General features: G+C 32.8%; 2 annotated features.

The window, feature by feature from the left end:
- Positions 5,715–5,915: a silencer, noted in NCBI's record as "peak630 fragment used in MPRA reporter construct". NCBI's record gives its function as "represses an SCP1 promoter by STARR-seq MPRAs in K562 erythroleukemia cells {active_cell/tissue: K562}" and the evidence as "EXISTENCE:reporter gene assay evidence [ECO:0000049][PMID:32103011]".
- Positions 16,015–16,215: a silencer, noted in NCBI's record as "peak631 fragment used in MPRA reporter construct". NCBI's record gives its function as "represses an SCP1 promoter by STARR-seq MPRAs in K562 erythroleukemia cells {active_cell/tissue: K562}" and the evidence as "EXISTENCE:reporter gene assay evidence [ECO:0000049][PMID:32103011]".

A 22,741-nucleotide genomic window follows, 5' to 3' on the forward strand; every position in this document is an offset into this window, starting at 1 on the left:
TCAGGCAGCAGAGCGCAGAAAGAGAATCTGTATGCCTGGGAGAGGGAGAGCAAAGTGAGTATGGTATATTGCTTTGGAACTCAGTGCTGATTTGTTACACTGAAATACAACACAAGGAAGAATTCTGCCAGTGCCCATGGAAGAATTTAGATCAGCCCTGGGTAAAATGGAAATCTTCTGTCCTAAGTGGGAGGAAACCAAGTCCTGGTTGGCTTCACTACCAGCTGAATAAAGTGGCCTGGATCCCCACGTAAATTTGATTGGCAGTCAGGCCACAATGACTGCAGTCCTAGGGCAAGCCCTGTTTTGTCACTGGCCCTAGATACAGTGGACTTGGGGTGCAACTCAGTGTGACACTGGCTGTGGCAACCATGGGAGTGCCTGCATTGACTCTGCCCCAACTCCAAGCAGCAAAGCTCAGGGAGAGACATTTTTTGCTCAGGGGAAGGAAAGGAAAGAGCAAAGACTTTGTCTTATAACTTGGGTACCAGCTCAGGCACAGTGAAATAAAGGACCTGGAAGATTCCTGAGTTCCCAAATTCCAGGCTTTTGCTCATTGATGACATTTTTAGACACACTCCAGGCCAGAAGGGAATCTACTACCCTTGGGGGCTGGACCTAAGTCCTAGCAAGATTCAGTATCTGCTGACTAAAGTGGCCTTGGGGCTTGAATTAGCAGCAGCCAAGCAGTAGTGGCCATGGGTCTTTAGTGAGCCCCAGTACTGTACTGGTCCGGGAGACTATAAGCTTCAGGTGCAACCTAGCATGTTGCCAGCTATAGTAGCCATGGAAGTGAAAGAATCACCCCTCTGCCAACTCCAAACAGCCTAGCACAAAGGCAGACTCATCTATGTCTGGGAAAGTGAGAGAAGAGAGCAGAAGACTTCACCTGGGAACTTAGGGAATCTTTTCTTACCACTGAGGCTGTGTTTCTAGGAGTTCACAAGCATTGTAGTGTTCTCAAGCTTCAGATATCTCTTAGTATTACAACAGCTGCAAAGATCAGAGTTAGGTAAGAGCATTCAGTCCCCTTTGGATTCTTGAAAAGTTCTCTCAAGAAGGACAGGTAAAAACAAAACCAGACTGCAAAGATTAAAATAAATAACAAACTCTTCAATGCCCAGACATCAAAAAACATCCACAAGAATAAAGAGTATTCAGGAAAACATGATCTCAGCAAATGGACTAAATAAGGCAGCAGTGACCATTCCAGGAGTAATGGAGACGTGTGACCTCTCAGACAAGGAATTCAAAGTAATTTTTTGTCTTGAGAAAGCTCAATGAACTGCAAGATAATACAGAAAAGGAATTTAAAATTCTATCAGCTAAATTTAACAAAGAAATTGAAATAATAAAAATATATCAAACAGAAATTTAGGGGCTTAAAAATTCAATTGGCAAATTGAAAATGGAACAAAGTCAACAGCAGAATTGATCAAGTAGAAGAAAAAAATTAGTGAACTCGAAGGCAGGCTATATGAAAATACACAGGCAGAAGAGAAAAAAGAAGAAAAGGGTAAAAAAGAATGAAGAACACCTACAAAATCTAGAAAATAGCCTCAAAAGGGAAAAAACAAGAGTTACTGGCCTTAAAGAGGATGTAGAAAAAGAGATTGGTGTAGAAAGTTTACTCAGAAAAATGATAACAGAGAACATCTGAAACATAGCAAGAAAGATATGATTATCCAGATGGAAAAATGTCAAAGTACAACAAGCAGACTCAACCAAAGTAAGACTACTTCAAGACATGTAATAATCAAACTCTCTAAGTTAAAGGACAAAGAAAGGATACTAGAAGCAGCAAGGTAAAAAGAAATAAATAACATATAAAGGAGCTTGATGTGTATGGCAACAGAGTTCTCAGCGGAAACCCTATAGTGTAGGAGGGAATGTGATGAAATTTTTAAAGTACTAAAGAAAAAAATGCAATCTAAAATTTTGTATCTAGCAAAGTTATTCTTCAAATATGAAGAAGAAATAAAGATTTCCCAAGACAAAAACTAAAAGAAAAAAGAAAAAACTGAGAAATTCCATCAATATCAGACCTGTCTTACCAGAAATATTAAAAGGAGATCCTCAATTCAAAATAAGACAGTAACAAGCAAAAAGAAATTATCTCAATAAGACCCACTGGCAAAAGTAAGTACACATTCAAATATGGAATATTCTAACATTGTAACTGTGGTGGTAAACCACATATAATATTTTTGGTATGAAGACGTAAAAACAAACCTAGCAAAAATAATAATTACAACAATTTGTTGAGATATACACAATATAAAAAATATAAATAGACACAATAAAATATGAAAAAGACCCAACTATATGATGCCTTACAAGAAACTTACTTCACCTAAAAAGATACACACTGACTTAAAATGAAGGAAAGAAAAGGGATACTCTACGCAAATGGAAGCCCTCAAAAAAGACCAGGGATTGGCTGGGTGCAGTGGCTCACGCCTGTAATCCCAGCACTTTGGGAGGCCAAGGTGGGTGGATCACTTGAAGTCAGGAGTTCGAGACCAGCCTGGCCAACATGGTGAAACCCTGTCTCTACTAAAAGTACAAAAAGTTAACTGGGCGTGGTGCCAGGCACCTGTAATCCCAGCTACTTGGGAGGCTGAGGCAGGAGAATCTCTTGAACCCAGGAGGCGAAGGTTGCAGTGAGCCAAGATCGCGCCATTGTACTCCAGCCTGGGCAACAATAGTGAAACTCTGTCTCAAAAAAAACAAAAAACAAAAAACAAACAAACAAACAAAAAAACCAAAAAAACAGGGATTGTTATTATACTTACATCAGATAAACTACATTTAAAAACTATTTAAAAATACAAAGAAGTTCATTATGTAATGATAAATGAGTCAATTCAGCAAGAAGATATAACAGTAGTCTATTTATATATACAATAGTGCAGCACTAACATATATAAAGCAAAAAGCAAATATTATTAGAGGTAATGGAGGAGAAAGAGAGAGAGACCAGTACAGTAACACTTGGGAATTTCAACTCCTCACATTTGGCATTAGACAGATCATCTAGTCCCAAAATATAAAAAGAAACATATGGCTTAATCTACATATAGACTGAATGGACTTAATAGACATTGATAGAACATTTCATTCAACAGCTATGGAACACACATTGTTTTCTTTAGCTCATGGAACATTCTCAAGGAGACACCATATGTTAGAACACAAAATGAGTCTCAAAAATTTTTTAAAAAATTAAAATTATATCAAGTATCTTTTCTGACCACATGGAATAAAACTAGAAATGAATACCAAAAAACGTTAGGAAAATATACAAATACATATAATTTAAAAATATACTCTTGCACTACCACTGGGTCAATGATGAAATTAAGAAGCTTCCTGAAACAAATACAAATAAAAACACAACATACCAAAACCTATGTAATACAGCAAAAACAGTACTAACAGGGAAGTGTAGAGCAATATATGACTAAATCAATAAAGTATAAAAACTTCAAATAACCTAATGATGCATACTAAAGAAATAGAAAAGCAAGAGCTAACCAAACCCCACATTAGCAGAAGACAAAAATTAGAGAAGAAATAAATGAAATTGAAACAAAAATATTAAAGTCAACACAATGAAAAATTAGGTTTTTGAAAAAAACCAAATTGACAAATTTTAGCCAGATGAATGAAGTAAAAAACCTCAAATAAATGAAATTAGAGATGAAATATTAGACATTACAGCTGGTACTGCAGAAATTTAAAAAATCAAAGCGACTATTATGAGCAACTGTATGCCAACCAATTTGAAAGCTTTGAAGGAACAAGTTAATTCCTAGACACATACAGCCTACTAATATTGAACCATGAAGAAATACAAAACCTGAATACACCAATAACAAGTATAGAGATAGAAGCAGTAATAAAATAGTCTCCCATCGAAGGAAAGCTCAGGATCTCAGGCCTTCATTCTGAATTCTACCAAACATTTACAGAAGAACTAATACCAATTCTACTCAAACTACTCTAAAAAAAAATGAGGAGAAACTACTTTCAAACTAATTCTACAAAGGTCAGTATTACTCTAATACTGAAACTAGAGAAAGACACACCAACAAAACCACCACCACCAACAGGCCAATATCTCTGACAAACATAAATGCAAAAATCCTCAACTAAATACTTGCAAACTGAATTCAACCCTACATTAAAAAGATAGTGTCTTATGATCAAGTGGGATTCATGCCAAGAGTGTAAGGTATATAGAACATACAGAAATCAACATCAAATCAACATATAGAAATCAATAAACATAATACATCCCATGAACAGAATGAAGGACAGGAATGATAGGGTCATTTTAACAAATGCTGAAAAAGCGTTTCTTAAAATTCAACATCTCTTCCTGATAAAAACTCAACAAACTGGGTTAAAGAAACATACCTCAGCACATTAAAGGTCATTACAACAACCCCACAGATAATATTATACTGAACAGGAAAAAAAAAACTGAAAGCCTTTTCTCAAGATCTAGGACAAGACAATTCAATTTAGTGATTGAATGGGAGGAAAAGGCAGATTAGAAATGTGCAGTTGTGTACTTTAGCCAATGTTATACAACATGGTACTGGAAGTCCTAGACAGAGCAATTAGAAAACATAAAGAAAGCACATTCAGGTTGAAAATTAGGAAGTCAAATTATCCTTGTTTGTATGTGATATGATCTTATATTTAGAAAATTGTAAAGACTTAAAAAATTTAGAACTAACAAATTCAGTAAAGTTTCAGGATACAAAATCAACATGCAAAAACCAGTAGCATTTCTAAATGCCAACAGTGAACAATCTGAAAAAGAAATCAAGAAAGTAACCCCATTTACAATACATAAAAATAAAACTAAATATCTAGGGATAAACTTTAACAAAAAGTAAAATATCTCTACAATGATAACTATATAACATTTATGCAAGAAATTGAAAACGACACAAAAAATGGAAAGATATTCCATGTTCATGGACTGGAAGAATCACTGTTGTTAAAATGTTCACATTACCCAAATCAGTCTAGAGATTTAATGCAATTGCTGCCAAAATACCAAAGACATTCTTCACAGACATAGAAAAACAATCCTAAAATTTGTATCAAACCACAAACGACCTATAACAGCCAAAGCAATCCTGAGCACAAAAGAGCAAAGCTGGAGGCCTTACAATACCTGACTTCAAGTTACAAAGCAACAGTAACCAAAATAGCATGGTAGTGGCATAAAAACAGATACATAGACCAATGAAAAAGATTCAAGAATCCAGAAATAAATCAATGAATTTCCAGTCAACTCATTTTTAACAAAGTAACCAAGAACATACATTAGAGAAAGGAAAATCTCTTCAATAAATGTTGCTAGGAAACTGGATATTCATATGCAGAAGAATGAAAGTAAGTCCCTACCTCTTACCTTATACAAAAATCAAAACAAAATGGCTTAAACACTTCAATGGAAGACCTGAAAATATGAAACTACTGGAAAAAAACGTTGAGGAAACACTCCAGGACATTGGGCTGGGCAAAGATTTCTTGAATAAGACCTCGAAAGCACAGATAATCACAGCAAAAATTGACAAAAGGGTAACATCAAGCTAAAAAACTTCTGCAGAGCAAAGGAAAAAGTCAACAAAGTTAAGAGCCCACGTACATAACAGGAAAATATTTGCAAACTACCTATCTAGCAAGGGGTTAATAAACAAAATATCTAAGGATCTCTAACAACTCAATAGCAAAAAAAAAAAAAACCAAATAATTCAATTTAAAAGATGGGCAAAAGTTCTGAATAGACATTTCTCAAAAGAAGATATACAAATGGCCAACAGATATAGGATAAAATGCTCAGCATCATTAATCTGTGGCTTTAATCAAAAAAGCAAAGAAAAAAGGCAATAACTGATGCTGTGGAGAATGTGGAGAAAGGAAACCTCCCGCACACTGCTGGTGGGAATGTAACTGAGTGAAGACACTATGGTGATCAGTATGGAGGTTCCACAAAAAACTAAAAATAGAGCTATGATATGATCCAGAAATTTTACTACTGGGTATATATCCAAGTAAAGGAATCATTGTGTCAAAGAGGTATCTGCACTGTCATGTTTCTTGCAGCACTATCAACAATAGCCAAGATATGGAATCACCCCAAGTGTCCATCAGCATATACATGGGTTAAAAGAGTAGTATAAATCTACAATGGAATATTATTCAGGCATTGAATTGAATCAAGTTTTCTAAGGGCTCTCCACCCACGCGGAACTGTGAATCAGTTAAACCTCTTTCTTTATAAATTACCCAGTTTGGGGCATTTCTTCATAGCAGCATGAGAACTGACTAATACAGCCATATAAAAGAATGGAATCCTATCATTTGTAACAATATGATAGAACTTGGAGACATTATATTAAGTGAAATTAGCCAGGCACAGAAAGACAAATATCGCCTGCCCTCACTCATATGTGGGACCTAAACAATTTTGATCTCATGGAGATAGTAGAATAATAGTTACCAGAGGATGGGAAGGGTACTGGGGAGGGAGAGATACAAAGAGGTAAATGGGTACAAAAGTACAGTTAAATAGGAGTAAGATTCAGTGTTCGGTACCACAATATGGCAACTACAGCTAACAATAATTTATCGTTTATTTCAAAGTAACTAGAAGAATGGAATTAAATGTTTCCAAAACAAAGAAATGATAAATGTTTGAGGTGATAGATATCCCATTACCCTAATTTAATCATTACTCATGGTATGCTTCTATCAAAATTTCAGATGTATTTCATAATTGTCTACAACTATTATGTATTCATAAAAATTAAATGTAAAAAAAGTAGGGAACCAGTTCAATGTGAACTCCTCAAACACCCCAGACTGGGATAGATATTGTTTTGCAGTGTAATTATTAGCCTGAGGTAGTATGCAATTCTCTTTATAGGTGGCTTTATAGGTGAGGCGATTCTTTTTATACGTGGCTTTTAAAGAACTGGCAAAAAAAAAAAAAAAGGCATATATGAGTAAAGTTGCACCCTCGGTAAGCTTAATTTTTTTGGATCAACCTGTTAGGAAAATAGAAGTACATCATTACCATAAATAGATGTGACACTCATAATTTGAAAAAAAAAAACTGTTGCTGTATATTTATTTGGGGATATTTCTACACTTTTTCTACTGGTTCCTTTTTTGTGTTTTTTCTTCTCCAGAAAATAAAGAAGTAATGTTTAATTATCTGAATGAATTTTAGCAGTATTACATATATTTCAAAATATTAACCTGCCATTTCTATTTGTTTTATATGATTTTATTTGTTTAGGGATAATTCATATTTTGATTATATTGTTTATATGCCTGAACACTTAGTGACTTTTTATTTATTCATTTAAAAAATCCTCAGACGAGTTATCTGTTTTTGATTTGGTTCCTCTACTTGTTTATTCATGGGCATTTTATAATTTTTCTAATCATATTAAATGGAATCTTGTCTTCTAATATGTGTTCGAAATTGTTCTTTAAACAGAGAAATGCTACTTATGTTCTATATTTAGTAGCCAGAAAGTTTAATAAATTTTTATTTTCAGTGTCTAACAACTAATGATATATCAATGATAACTTGTACAATATTTTTAAAATTAAAATCCTCAATTATATCTACTCTTTAACTTCACTTTCTGCTAGTTACATAACAATGTCAAAAATAATGGTAACATGGACATAGTATTGCAAGAAACTTGATTTAGGTATTAGGGCTAGATTAGCTTCAACTAGAATCCTCAGGAAATATCTATTCCTTTGCTATAACTGTCTTGGTACATGTTTTACTTATTTCTGATTCATTTTCTCTTTTGAGCTCTGCTCTCTTAAATCCCTATATATTAGCTAACAGCAATTACAACTTCTCCACCTTCTTTTTCTGTTTTTCCTGCCTATGGTGAGTTTTAGGGAGGGTCTAACTTTATTGCTTCTTTGGGTTACCACTTTACCCTTTTGTGTGATCTCGCTCCATATTTGGTAATAAGATTCTGTACAAAGTAAGATCCATTCATTCGTACAATCTGTTTCTAGAAATAATTTCTGCCATGATTACCTTTCTCCTTTTTTCAGTACCGCTGAATTTGCTTAACATGTTGGAGAGAGCCTTGAAATTTTTTTTCTATCATTCCAGTTTGTACTTCACGGTCATCTAACAAACTCTATTCTCACTTTCCGCTGAGCAAGGCTAATGTTACCCTTCTCTCTATCTATGTGTGTATATATATAAATATATAATATATACATTTATACATATATAATACATTTATATGTGTAAATATATAATATATATTTAATTGCCAGAAAGTTTAATAAATTAACTTTTATTTCTTATATTATTTTAAAATAACATAAATACATATATATGTATATAGGAGGGTACATATATATATGTATTCATTTTATATATGTGCGTTTTTTTAAAAAAAATACTTTCCTAATGTCTCAGTTAATTAGAGAGAGGACAGACAGGAGATTTTATGTCTAAATTGAGGTAAGAAATTGGTTAAAAATAATAACACAATATTCTTATGTAGTTGAGTATTTCTGAATTTTACGTTTTCTATTCTGAAGAAACATTTGAATCCATAACCTGCTGAGAAAAGAGATTATGTTGAAGGGAAATAAATTGTTTCTAGGAAGTATATCAGTTAATTAAACTACTCATTTGATTTAAATAATATTATAATAATAACAAGATAGCTAGTATCAAACTGAGTAGAAACCTGTACAACTATCAGAATACCAAAACAATGTTGTTAAAAAGCCCTTAAATATGAGGGAAAATTTATTCTTTAATTGTAAACAATCACTTTACCAGTCTCAAAAGACATAATTTTAATATCCAATAGACATTTTGAGGGCATTATTTACTAGAAAACAAAAACTTTCACTGAGAACAAATGTAAATAGATAAATAATTTACTAATGTGCTTATCTCAGCAGACAAATGCTAGCAGAGTTACACACAACGAATATTCTTATCTCCAAGCACTTTAGCAGTTTTCTCAATGGAGGTAATAAAAACATTTGCGTAAGAAAATATTTTATTATATAGAAATATCCTGCACAGCATAAGACATTTAGTATCTGATTGACTTAAGGAAATTAATATTTGCTATCATTACAATCAGATACCTTGCCAAAAATACACTGGCAATTCTCTGCCTATTTTGTGTCCCACCCTTTTGATTTTTTTCCCCTCACAAAACTCATTGAAATCTTTGCTTCATCAGAGACAACTCAAACTCCCATTCTCTGATCTGTTTTTCCAACTGTGTGTTAATTTCAGTGTGTTAAGTTCTTACTCTACAGGGTTGAATCAGAATTGTTTTAGAGATAGGACTTATGTTAATAAGAAGCATAAAATTTATGAGTAGAATAGCAATTTTATGTAATATACGTAGCAGTTTGTGCCATTATTCAAAAACAGTCATTTGGATTCATCCATTCTAATTTCCAATATTATGATTTGAGTGAATTCCTAAAATTATATTCTACAAATTCTAGTTATAAAATATTACATCATGAAATATAATACTACTTAATGAAGCATAATACTACATCCTGAAACCGATTTATAGACACATCTATAAATCTTTAAAAACACCCACAAGAATTTTAAATAAACAAACATCCCAGAAGGTAGAAAACTAAAATAGGATCACACCTGACAAATAACTTTTAATATTGACCTGAACATGATTCTTCGATTATACAATATAATAATTTTATCGTTTAACAATATATAAATAAATCAAATGAGCATAAGTAAACCCCAGAATCAAAGTTAATCCTGTAATTCTAGCAATAATTCATTTAAAATGAAGTTATAATTAGGTTGATAGTTAAGTTTATATTCATTATGGCAGATTAAATTAAGAGTTAAATCTCTCCCCCACCCCTTTTTCACTACACCTTTAGTGTTCTCTGTTCCAAACTCACAATTAATGTGATTTTTTTCCAATTTTAAAACTTTGGATTGGCAAATATATTTATAATTAGGTTAGTTATTTGCTATCATTCTGTTCTGAATCCTTGCTCTTCATGCCTAACAATAAATCTGCAGCCTTTGCTCAGCCTCTGCAGGAAAAGAAAAGCCTTTTTCTTAGCAACTCTCTTCCAGATCTTCCATTGGCACTAGACATTGTCTACTCAAAATAGTTCCTTCTTTATAAGAATTCTAGGTATCAGATGCATCTCAATTTTCTTCCAACTGTTAACAAAAAATCCCAGTTATTTTAGTGATTGAATTGCAAGAAAAGGCAGATCAGGAATGTGCAAATTTAAACATTTTTGAAACTAGAACTTTCACAAGATTATCAGAGTAATTTTCTAAGTAGTTTCTTGTACTATTTTATAATAAAAGAATTAAATGAGTTCATCAAAGTTGTTCGATATAAGGTTAATATATAAATACAAATCTTATGTAATCTTTTAAATAAGAATTTTTTTTAAATGATCAGTTTGCCTAGTTGCAAACATCAGGTTAAACATCAACAAGCTTGAACAGAAAGAAATTTAATAAAGGATATTAGGTGTGTCACAAAATCTCTGAGAAGACCTCAAAACCAAGCATGCGTACTACACAGCCAGGAATAATAAAAACAAAACTTCATTGTCACAGTAGTGAATGCATGTCCAACCCTCCACCAGAGCTGTCCCCAAAGAACCAGTTGCCTTCACTACTGCATTGTCAAAGTCCCCAGCATCAACTTACCTTACCAATGGCATATCTGACTAGCTGAACATAGCTTTACTAAGTTTGAAAAAATGTCTACCTTTTTGTTTTCCCGAAGATTCAGAAGTATTTTATTAATGTTTCAATAATATTATTGTTAATGTATAGTATGCATAGAAAAAAGTATATAACTTATATTTTTACAGCTTGAAGACATCTTACAAAGTGAATATAACCACCTAAACATCACCTAATCAAGGAATATAATATCTCCATCATCCCTAAAGCCTCATTCTACCGTCTCCCTACTATATTTCTCTTACCCCAATTTGACTACTGCCTTAACTCCGAACTCCATAGTTTATTTTTGATTGGTTTTGAACTTTATCTAAATGGAAACATTCACGATTCACTGTTTTCTTCTGGCTTTTTTTTCTCCCACTCAACATTGTTTTTAAGTTGCATCTAGTATGTTGCACATGGCTGAAGACTATTCATTTTTATTGCTTCATTATGGGATTGGGTCATAGATTATGCCTGCTACTCAGCAGCAATAGATACAGCAAAATACAGATACAGCAAAATACAAAATACTGGGAAAGGTAGTGAGTTTTTTGTTTGTTTTGCGTTTTTACTTTTACTTCCAAAAGTCGTGATTCCTAGAGTGAGAATTTATGAAGATATTGGAGGGGATATTCAAAGGACATTGAACAACCAGAAATAGCAAATATCCATTTGTAATTATTGCACTAATTCTTAATACAAATTAGTGAATTTTTATTTTAAGAATTAAAAATTATGCAAAGGTCATGCAGCATCTAATGATTTTTAACAATAAAGTTTCTACAACTGTGTAGAAAATACAAAATAAGGACACGCATAAACACAAAAGTGTATTTTTAAAATTTTTTCTGCAATAATGCAAAGAACTCATCATGACTAAAATGTTACCATTTAAGGCAAGATGAGAGAAGTAAGAAGACATTTGCAACTAATTATCTTTTTTAAATTTATTTTGTAAACACTCTCAATGATAAACCTACTCTGTCCACAGTCAATTGCATTTTAAACACGTGTTTATTAATATTCCAAAGAAAATGTTTTAAAATTTATTGTGTACATTTGAGTACTTTTTATATAAGATTTATACTCATATAAACTAATCTTTTTTATCAGCAATGTTTATGCCAAAATTAAATAACTTTCATCTGAGAAAGACTTGAAATTCCAAGAGAAGTGATCTCAGTTTCCATAATAAATTCAATGATGTCTGCTAAAGATTCTCAGAAGCAGCTTCCCCTTTCTCTCTCAAGGAATTCTTAGTCAAGGAAAACATTAACATACTCAAGGCAATTTTAGTGAATTGAGGCAAATTTATGGCAAGTTTAAGAAGAGGAGATTGTAGCCTGAATGAAATTAGAAAATATAAACAGGTTTGATGTGTGATGAATATATCACCTCATGTATCATAGTTACACAGTGAAACCATCCGGACCCCTCTCTTTCTCAGGAAGTGTACCAATGCAGCTTTGGAATGTTTTTAAGGAAGGAATCTACAAGAGAAATAGTGTGATTATTTGGGAACGTGGCACAATATGCTTCCTTGCTTATGTTATTTTGCTTCATGAAGGAAGCAAGCAGAGAACCACACTTGAAAAAAATTTGCATGACCAGATAGACCCAGTTCAGAGTTGGAGGTGTGCCACACAGTACAGGCTTGAGAATCAGAAAGATGTGAATTCAGAATCCTTCTTCAGCTCACACTAATTCTAGAACTTTAAAAAAAGTTAACTTCTCTGAGTCTGTGTTTCATCAAAGATAATATGGCATGGAATTAACTCTGATATTATATGAAATTCATTTGGCATGGTGTGATTTCCAGTAAAAACCCTCAACTGATAGCCAAAACCCAAATCATCCAATTAAAAAATGGGTAAAAGGCCTGAATAGATATTTTTTCAAATAAGACATAAAATGGCCAACAGGCATATGAAAAACATACACTGTACGTTTTGTACACTGATGATGGAATGTAAATTGGTATGGCCATTATGGAAAACAGGATGGAGCTTTCTTTAAAAAATCAAAACACAACTGCCATATGAAAGAGCAATTCCTCTGCCAGTGATATACCCAAGGGAACTGAAATCAGTATCTTAAAGAGATATCTGCATTCCCATGTTTATTGCAAGCATTATCCCCCATAGCCAAGATATGGAAACAAGTGTCCATTGACAATAAACAGATAAATAAAATCATGTGTATGTGTGTGTGTTATACAAAATGAAATATCAGCCTTAGAAAAGAAGGAGGCCCTGCCATTTGCAACAACATAGGTAAACCTGAAGGACATTATACTAAGTAAACTAAACCAGACACAGAAACATAAATTCTGAATGATCTTACTTATATGTGGAATCTAACAAACAGAATAACTAGGCCGGGCGTGGTGGCTCACACCTGTAATCCCAGCACTTTGGGAGGCCGAGGCGGGCAGATCACAAGGTCACGAGATAGAGACCATCCTGGCTAACATGGTGAAAGCCCGGCTTTACTAAAAATACAAAAAATTAGCCGGGCGTGGTGGCGGGCGCCTGTAGTCCCAGCTCCTTGGGAGGCTGAGGCAGGAGAATAGCGTGAACCCAGGAGGCGGAGCTTGCAGTGAGCCGAGATCGCGCCACTGCACTTCAGCCTAGGCGATAGAGCGAGACTCCGTCTCAAAAACAAAACAAAACAAAAGATAGAATAACTAGCAACAAGGACTATAATGATGGTGACCAGGGCTTCCTTGACTGGATGATAATACACTCAAATTGCTCTACTCTGAATAAAATAATTGTTAAATTCTGGATCATTTGTTCTATTTCTAAATATAATTTATAGATATTTATTTAAAATAGTCATGACTTTTAATTGTTTTGGTTTAGTGCTTTATTATTATGGTGGCAATGGTGGTGAGGTGGTAGTCGTATTTAAGTGCTGAATATCAGCATCACTTACAAATTGGACTTGAGTTTCATTATAAAATTGGACCAGACAATAGACTATAGTTACCATGAGGCAGAGAGTTAATTTTTTTTTCTATTCACAATATTTATCAGATCTCTATCCCACTGCCTGGGAAAACAGCAGTTGTAAAATATCTGTTGAAAGTGTTGATGAACCTAGCACAACTATACTACTGTTTGTGAGAAAATCTGCAAAGAAATAATATTTCTGGATATTCCAAGTTATTCTTTTATCTAGCACAACTATACTACTGTTTGTGAGAAAATCTGCAAAGAAATAATATTTCTGGAAATTTCAAATTATTCTTTTAGTCTTCCTTGAAAATGTTAAAGATAAATTTTTATTTCATTTGGCTGTTTCATTTAAATACATATTATACTTTTAAAAATCACCATATGATAAAACGGTATTAATAGTTATAAATTAAAAGTAACCAAGTTATTGTTGTCTAAAGTAAAAGTATTTGTTTTATGTAAATTCTTTCATATAATATTTAAAGTAATATTATGATCCAGTTTGTATTCTATCCCCATTTTAAATTGGTATGGTATTTAGGCAAATTTTTGCATTTACACCTGTAAGTTAAATTCAATTTCATGTTACTTCAAATTAACAACCTTCATCACATCACTGCAACATTTCTGAAAGTGCTTCTAAAACTAAATACTTTTGAAGCAATATATTTCAAATTTTTATATACTCATCAATAGCTATAAAATAAATATTACTGCTAAGACTGCATTATAATTTTTAATATAAAAAATTCCTATAATCTGTAGGTCTGTTGGTGTTGATTTTTGTTACAATGTTTTTAATCAAAGAATAAATATCTACGTCATCAAAACAAAAATGTGTAACAGTTTAGTGGTTTCTAAATCCTAAGAAGATACATTCAATTGGTTTACATATGTGCAGTATTGATAAGTATTAAGGTACATAATTACTATTGTGACAAAAGTATATAATATGATTTTCTTTTTACTAAGAAAATTTATCATATTTCTTCATTTTTCTTAAAAAAAAGCTCACCTTGACTTAAGTGGGACAAAGATTTTATATAGCATAGGTACACTGGTGGCATTTTTAGGACAGCAGTATGACAAACCACCTATCAGAGAAGAGAATTCATTCTCAAGCCAGGAGACAAGTTGATTTTTCATAGGTATTTATAATAATAATAAGCAACTTGAATGAAAAACTGAAAAGGCAAATTTCTCTATCATGTTTTCTGATTATCTCCTGATTTAAAGAGATACTGTATAATAATTTTATGTAATCTTTTTTTTACTTGTCAGACTTAATCATTCTGTCTCAGCTTACCTATCTTTAAAATGATGACTTTGATGTTATGTCCAATGGGTTCAAACAAATTACTACTAGCAATAGTAGTGGAAGTAGTAGCAGCAGCAACACTAGCAGCAGTAGTAGCAAGAGCAGCATTACTTTAGCAATGAGAAACAAAAAAAGAACACTTTACATTTAAGACTTATGAAAATGCAGTTAAAACATTTAAAAATAATTTTTGTGGCTTTGCATCATCATGGAGCATGGAGTTGGAGGAAGAGAAGGCCGCTCTTCACCTAGTTCCACATGCTAAAAATGTCTTATTTTAAAAACTGTGTTTCTTAATTAATGTGAAGTGGATTCATGGGACTTCCTTTGAACTTTTGTGAATATTCTACAGGTTCATTAGACTTTCAAGGAGCTATTAAAGTGCTGCATTTGAACTCAGGGTCTCTGGTGGCGGACTTCTTTCAAAGCACCTGTGTGAAGCGACTACTCAGCTTCCCAGAGAAGTGAAACAAAACGGCACAGATTAAACAATCTGCTTATTTTGAGCCAAAAAAAAATTACATCATCCTAAGGAGAAATACCGTTTTAATATTATTTGAGATTAATAATATTGTTGCACATTCTGATATTTTTTCTAAGCTGGAAACATTGCTATAATATCATAGTTCAAACTAATTATATGTGTGAAATATGCTTTAGTTTCTCTTTTTAAACAAGACTCATTGGGTCAAAAATTTAAAGTAAGAGACTGACTAGAGAATAAGCATTTTTAGTTTGAAAATATGACATTTTAGAAAATAATTATGGCGTGGCTAAAAGATGAGTAGTATTATGGCAAATCAGGTTAATAGTATTACAAGGACTTGCTCCTTGAAACTGCACTATTATTATGTACAAAAAATAAATAAAGGGGAGGCAGGTGTGGTGGCTCATGCCTGAAACACCAGCACTCTTGGGGACAGTGGGAGGATCACTTGAGGCCAAGTGTTGAAGATCAGCCAGGGCAATATAATGGGACCCTGTCTCTACAAAATAAATAAATAAAAATTAGCTGGGTGTGGTGGTGCATGACTGTAGACCCAGACACTCTGGAAGCTGAGGCCAGACGGCATGAGCCCAGGAGTTCAAGGCTTCAGTGAGCCATGACTGTCCCACTGCACTACAGCCTGGGTGACAGAATGAGATTCCATATTTAAATAATTATAACAAAATAATTTAAATTTAAATTTTCTCCAAAAGTTTAAAAATTAAAGGGGAAAAGGGCATTCTTTTGCAAAGTGAATGTTCTTTCATTCTACAAAGTTGCCTTTGAGGAATTTAAACTAAGCTATAACTGTTATACACTTTAGCAAGAGAATACAAGTTTAGATCACAACTGTATTGGTTCATAAAACAATCTTTGAGTCCTGATAAAATCATGGCATCAATTCCCTTTGAGAGAAATATTGTGAGTTATGTAGTCCAATTCACCTCTATTTCTAGTTTCTTTTCTACTGCATGTCCAGGGATTTGTTACTTAACCGATGTTTTATGATTTTTAAAGTACACTACTTTACATCATAGCACAATTTAGTTATGTTTTTAGAAAACAAAATTACGTAACAAAAATAAATGTTAATTTTGTATTAAATGCTCATAATATATTTTTGCAATCCAGTGGAAGGATCCTTTATTTAAGAATCTTGCATGTGTAAGTTTTGCCTGTTTGCATGCAAAAAGGGAGTATTTATATTTTCTAAGGTGAAGGGACTTATAAAATGGAAAGCATAAAAAGAAATGTATTTATTCTATAAATAATTATTTCTAGCAACTTGAAATATTGTAATAGATAAAGGCAAAGTTAAAACAAAATAAAAGATATATTCGTTCATCCTAAGAGTGAATATGCTATTAATAGGATTAAATACCCACATAAGTGAAAATAACTGAAAAATACTATAGGCCATATGGGTCAAACAAGCAATTTATTAGTGAGATTTGGGGCCTGAATCAACAAAAATTCATCATGCACCCCAAATGTACTAGTATTAAATATAGTTATCTGCCTGAGTCCACACAATAAGCTTGCTAAATTGAGATCACTACTCATAAACCTAGAAGGTTAATGGCTACCTAGGAAATAACAGCTAATAACAGCACAAACATTATGATTCTAAGTCTTATGAAGTAATGTAGAAAGTCTTATGAAATAGTGTAGAAAGTTTCACGAAAGTAATTCGTTTAACCTTAAACAGGACAGGATTAAGGTGTGTGTGTGTGTGTGTGTGTGTGTGTGTGTGTGTGTGTGTGTGTGTATATATATATATATATATATATATATATATATATGTATATAGACTCATTGGGTCAAAAATTTAAAGTAAGAGACTGACTAGAAACTAAGCATTTTTAGTTTGAAAATATGACATTTTAGAAAATAATTATGGCATGGCTAAAAGATGAGTAGTAGTATGGCAAATCAGGTAATTGTATTACAAGGACTTGCTCCTTGAAAAAAAAATATATATGAGCATATTATTTTATTAAATAATGTAATAACTTACCAATAAGTTATCTAATCATTTATTAATTTAATCATAATATTACTGAATCAGTACTAAAATGTGCTTCCACAGTTTGCTAAAATTGTGGTAAACTCTGATTCTGGAGATAAAGACATGAAGATTGTGATTCCTGCAGGGCAGGGGATTGTCTTGTCCATCTTCCTATACTCCAATTTCATCAGAGATAATCGTCATTGGGGATTTGCTGACTTACTGCCTGCACTCACTTTACTAAGGAAGGTGAAATTAATTTGAAAGCACCTACCTTTAGTAAGATGTTATAGGAGAATTTTAAGTTATAGCGAAGTCAAAAGGAGAAAGTAATCATTTTACTTAAAGCATTCAGGAGAGGTAACAGAAGAGCTGAATATTGACGGATGAGTAGTTGCTGGCCAGTAAATAAAGACATTTTTGGAAATTAAGAATAACTCCAAAAAGACATGTAAGTTATGAGATATTTGTGCCTTGAAGAACTATAAATATTTCAAAAAGATTGAATTAGAGTTGTTAGAGGCAAAGCAAGAAAAGCCCTGGGTGCTTGGAGTATCCAGATCATGGAGGACTGGGCATAACACATTAAGAAGTTGAGAGTTCATCCTTAAGAAGCTGTATCTATTGAAGAGGTTGAAGCAATAGAGTGATATTCTCCATCTTGCTTCTTAGAAAGATTATTCTGGCAGTCATGGAGAGATAGTATAACAAATGCAAGTCAGTAGGCATTTTGGAGAATGTGATGTTAGATGAGAAAAGAGAAAAATGGGAGTTGGAACGAAAGCGTTAACTGTGGAGCTGAAAATGAACAAGTGAATCAAAGGTAAGAAAGAAAAGCACAAAATGTGGAACTCTTGAGAGTAGATATAAAAACAGAGTAATGATTAAAAGAGAGCTCCCAAGTTTATCTTCTGCTGACTCAATAGAGGAAAATGTCTTTAATTAGGAAAAGAAATAGAGGAATAGCAGAGAAATACCTATGAAACTTTTTAGTGGGGTTGTCCAGTAAGCAGTATGATATAGAGGACAAAACTTTTGAAGATTCTATGGGCTGAAGAAATAATCTTTAAAATCACCCACAAAGATAGAGCTTAAAATGATGACAGAGGACAAGTTCAAAAGTGCATTAGAATAGAGGGAGAGAATGGTATTAGGAAGGAATATAAGGTGTAGCAATACATAAGAAGCAAGCAAAGGAAGAATATGCAGTGAGTGAGACTGAAAATAAAAATGAGAGATAGTAGGAGATAAGGCAGAATATTTTGTCATAGAAGCCAAGCAAGAGAATGACTTTAGGAGGATGATTTTAACATTTTTTGAGGCATCTGCTGACCAGCCATAGGCAATAGTTGATTAAGGCATCTGAAAGTGAAATTCTGTGTAAAGAGAATTCGTGAGATATTTTAGACTAGAATCCACTAACATCTCATCGATTTGTCAAACCCCTCTGAAATTAAATGGGTCCCTTTCATCATCAATAAAGTAGAATAGAACAAGAAGAGGCTCCATTATTGCAAATGCCTAACTTATCATCTGATTAGGTAATTTGATTAGCAATTTCTTAATAAAGTAAAAACAACAGGACATTATTAAATGGCAAAATGTGTTATGCGGAAATTTTTGTGGAAGCCCCAGGGCCTGGTAAGTCATTATCAGATAAACTGAGTTTAACAAAAATAAGAAGTGTATACCATGATTACCTAGGTGATAGTGTTCAGTAAATTTATGGGGTCAGAAACCTGGTATTAGTGAGCAGAATAATGAAAATGAGCTCATGAAATGGGCATATGGAATTTATGCTATATTTTCAAAAACCTAGGTAATGGAATAATGAAGATCAAGAGTAGTCCTGAGAGGCCAATGCAAATCTAAGTTAGATTTCTAGATGGATAAATCTTAAATATATTGCGACTGAAACAGAAGAAAACAGTGGAAAAGACATTGAAGCATAAGGAAAATTATTCTGAGTAAGATGAAGACTTAGATTCAAGTGGTAGTCAGAGCTCCCTTATTTTTATATTCATTGAAATGAGATAAGGTTCACCATATTCAAATGTGAAGTATGGAGAATTCCTCATTGATGCTTGAAACTACACATTTTTGCGTAGCTCACATCAAATAAACTTAAAGAATGATACCAAGTTTGACTTACAATTTGGCATCCTGAGATAGGATATTGTTACTGTAAAATAGTTGAGAAACACTTTGTAAGAATTCCACCAACAAAAAGATTTCACAGCTGAGGCTATGGGGTCAAACAGCCAACGTGCAGGCAAATGCAAAAACATGACTTGAATTCCCTTATGCTATAGAGTGAGAAACACAAAATCAGTGGTCTTGAATGACCTAGGGTTTGCTCAGGAACTTCTCCAAGCGGTAACTGGACAGAGGAAAGTCTGGACAGTTTTATTCTTTAAAGAATAGGAGACTATAACTAAAAGAAAACTAGATTGTCAAGGAGTTTAGATCTGGTGGGCAAAGAAGTTTTAAAATAAGGTTGTGCACAGAAACGGTGTACAGCATAAAATTCTGCAGAATAAGAGAAAAATATGTAATAGAGATAAACTTTTCTAACATCTTTAAACTATCTGTGCCCTAAATTTTTTTTCTAAGATTACTTAAGACCTTACCAAGCAATTTTAAAAAGTATTAACCAATCTCCTATCCAGAAACGATGGTGTTATTCTTGAATTTTACTTTAAAAAAGATGTTTGTTATTTTATGATCTAAGTATATTCCCCTGCCACCCAAAGCCAGGACTTGGTATCTAGCAATTTTAATACAGAATCAACCTTATAAATAATCATTCTGTTTTTATTCTTAAATCCCTACAGTACACTGAGCATATAAACTAAGGAAATTTCCATGAGCATAATAAGGAGATTATTTATCTGCTTAAAATCTTTCAGTTATTCTGTGATGCTCTCAGGGTTAAAGCCCAAACTGCTTAAAATTGTTGAGAAATCCCTCCCTGATTTTGTCCCTGAATATCTTTGTAGCCTTATTCTTACTAACTGTGCTCTTCGAATTTTAACCTTTAACCATATATAAATCTCCTTATGGATCAGTAAGAAGCCATGCCCTTATCTCTCTTCATGCCTTTACACATTCTATTATTACTTCATGAGACACTCTCTTCATATTCTCAGTCTCCTAAGCTAGACTAATTTCTACTCTTTAAAGGTAGTATGGAATTGTTTGAGAATGGAAGCTATTGGAGCAGTCAGATTCAGTTTCAATTTCTAGGTCTTCCATGTGCTGGATATAGGACCAATCTATGTTTTATTGTGAGGGTTAAAATATATTTTATTTGATAATGTAGCATAGTATCTACCACAAAGCAATTACTCAATAAGCTATTTTCTAGTAGTAGTAAAACTATTCATACTAATTGTTTTTGTGAAATGTGATGATATTTATTGAAGTACAATAATGTATTACATGTTGACTTATGTTGTTTGAGTTTCTGGAGAACTTGAGGGAAATTATGTAGTTCAGTTTAACTTTTTTAAAAAAATAATTTAAATATTCACCAAGAGCCCTGTCCACACACTCTTTCATATAGTTTAAAACATGGGAAAGTAAAAAGAAAAAAACTCCATTAGCTATTATAAATCAATTTTTATTACTTCTATCAGTGCAAGATTGATATACTGCTTTCTGAAGTTGTATTTATCTCTACTGAGGAATGAACTGTTTGTGACTTTTAAAGTCATTGTCATCAGCATCAGTAAAGCACACAGCAACACTATTTGTTGAAATGAAAAATAGGAGAAATATTTTTCTTCTAAATTCGTTAATAATGTTATTTCTATTAAGCTATCCTTTCTGTAAAGCAGAATTTTTATATGGTAGCTTTCTCTTTCATTGGTTCTCCCAGGTGAACTATTCTAGTTATGAAAAGACAGAAATATGTTTGTGTGAAACATAATGACAGCTTATTTCACAGAGCAGAAATAATGATGGGTCCAGACAGTCCAGTGCAGCTGGTCTAAATTACTACCCGAAAGCTGTCATTATTAAGTGATTAACAAATGGCTCACAGTTTGCCCACCATTACCAATCAAGAGACTCTCGCTCAAGCCACATTCCTTTAGACAAAAATGAAAGGAATTTTTTAATGAACTCACATTAATTTCACCACAATAAAAGTTACGAATATGGAGGAGAGAGATTTTGCTCTAATGTTTGTGCAGTTGTTATTTATTATGCAAATATACATGAGTAAGATATAAGGAAATTCAAAATCTCCAATTCTGTTAATAGTTAACATGTACTTGTGTGTATACACACACGCACACAGAGAGAAAGAGACAGAGAAAGAGAGAGAAGAAAGCTAAATTAAAACACCAATTTACTGATAAATAATTATCTTCTAAATTTCTTTTCAAAAATTCATTCATTCAAAGAGGCAAAACTCAACTAAATAAATTATCATATTTTACAATGTTTGAAATAGTATTGAGAACAAGGAAATCTAAAATATCTAATATTCAAATATCGAGTTTATTAAACAAGTTTAATATTTATGTTTAACCAGTCATTTTCCAAAAGAGGCATCAGTGCCCCCAAAGACACGTAAAAATTTCGGACATAAATTTGCTTGCAAAATAATGTGATAAACTACTGGCATTTAGGGGACAGAAGACCCAGATGCTAGACATCCTCTAATGCACAGAACAATTACACAACAAAGAATTGATCTGCATGATTTAGCAATGCTTTCATCTTCCAAGATAGATCACATTCTAGGTCACAAGATGAATCTTATTAAATTTAAGAATGGAAATTACTCACACTGTGTTCTCTGATCAAAATAAAACTAAACGTAAAATAAATAGAAGGATGTTTGATAAATCTAAAAATACTTTAAAAAGTAATCAATGTTGTACTAAGTAATCCACAGATTAAAGCAGAAGTTTCAAGGGAAAATAGAAAATATTTTAAGCTAAATGAAAATGAAAATTAAACATGTCAAATTATAAGAAACATATTTAAAGCAAGATTAGAGGGAAATTTACAGCATTATTTGCTCATGTTACAAAAGAATGAAGTTCTCAAGTTTATAATATAAGCTTCCACCTCCAGAAACTAGGGAAAAAAAAAAAACGAATAGGAGACCAAACCCAAAGTAAACAACAGAAGGAAGAAAAAGATACAATTATAAATTAATGAAATTGAG

This window comes from Homo sapiens, chromosome 1 (assembly GCF_000001405.40).
Source record: "Homo sapiens chromosome 1, GRCh38.p14 Primary Assembly".
NCBI classification, from domain to species: Eukaryota; Metazoa; Chordata; class Mammalia; order Primates; family Hominidae; genus Homo; species Homo sapiens.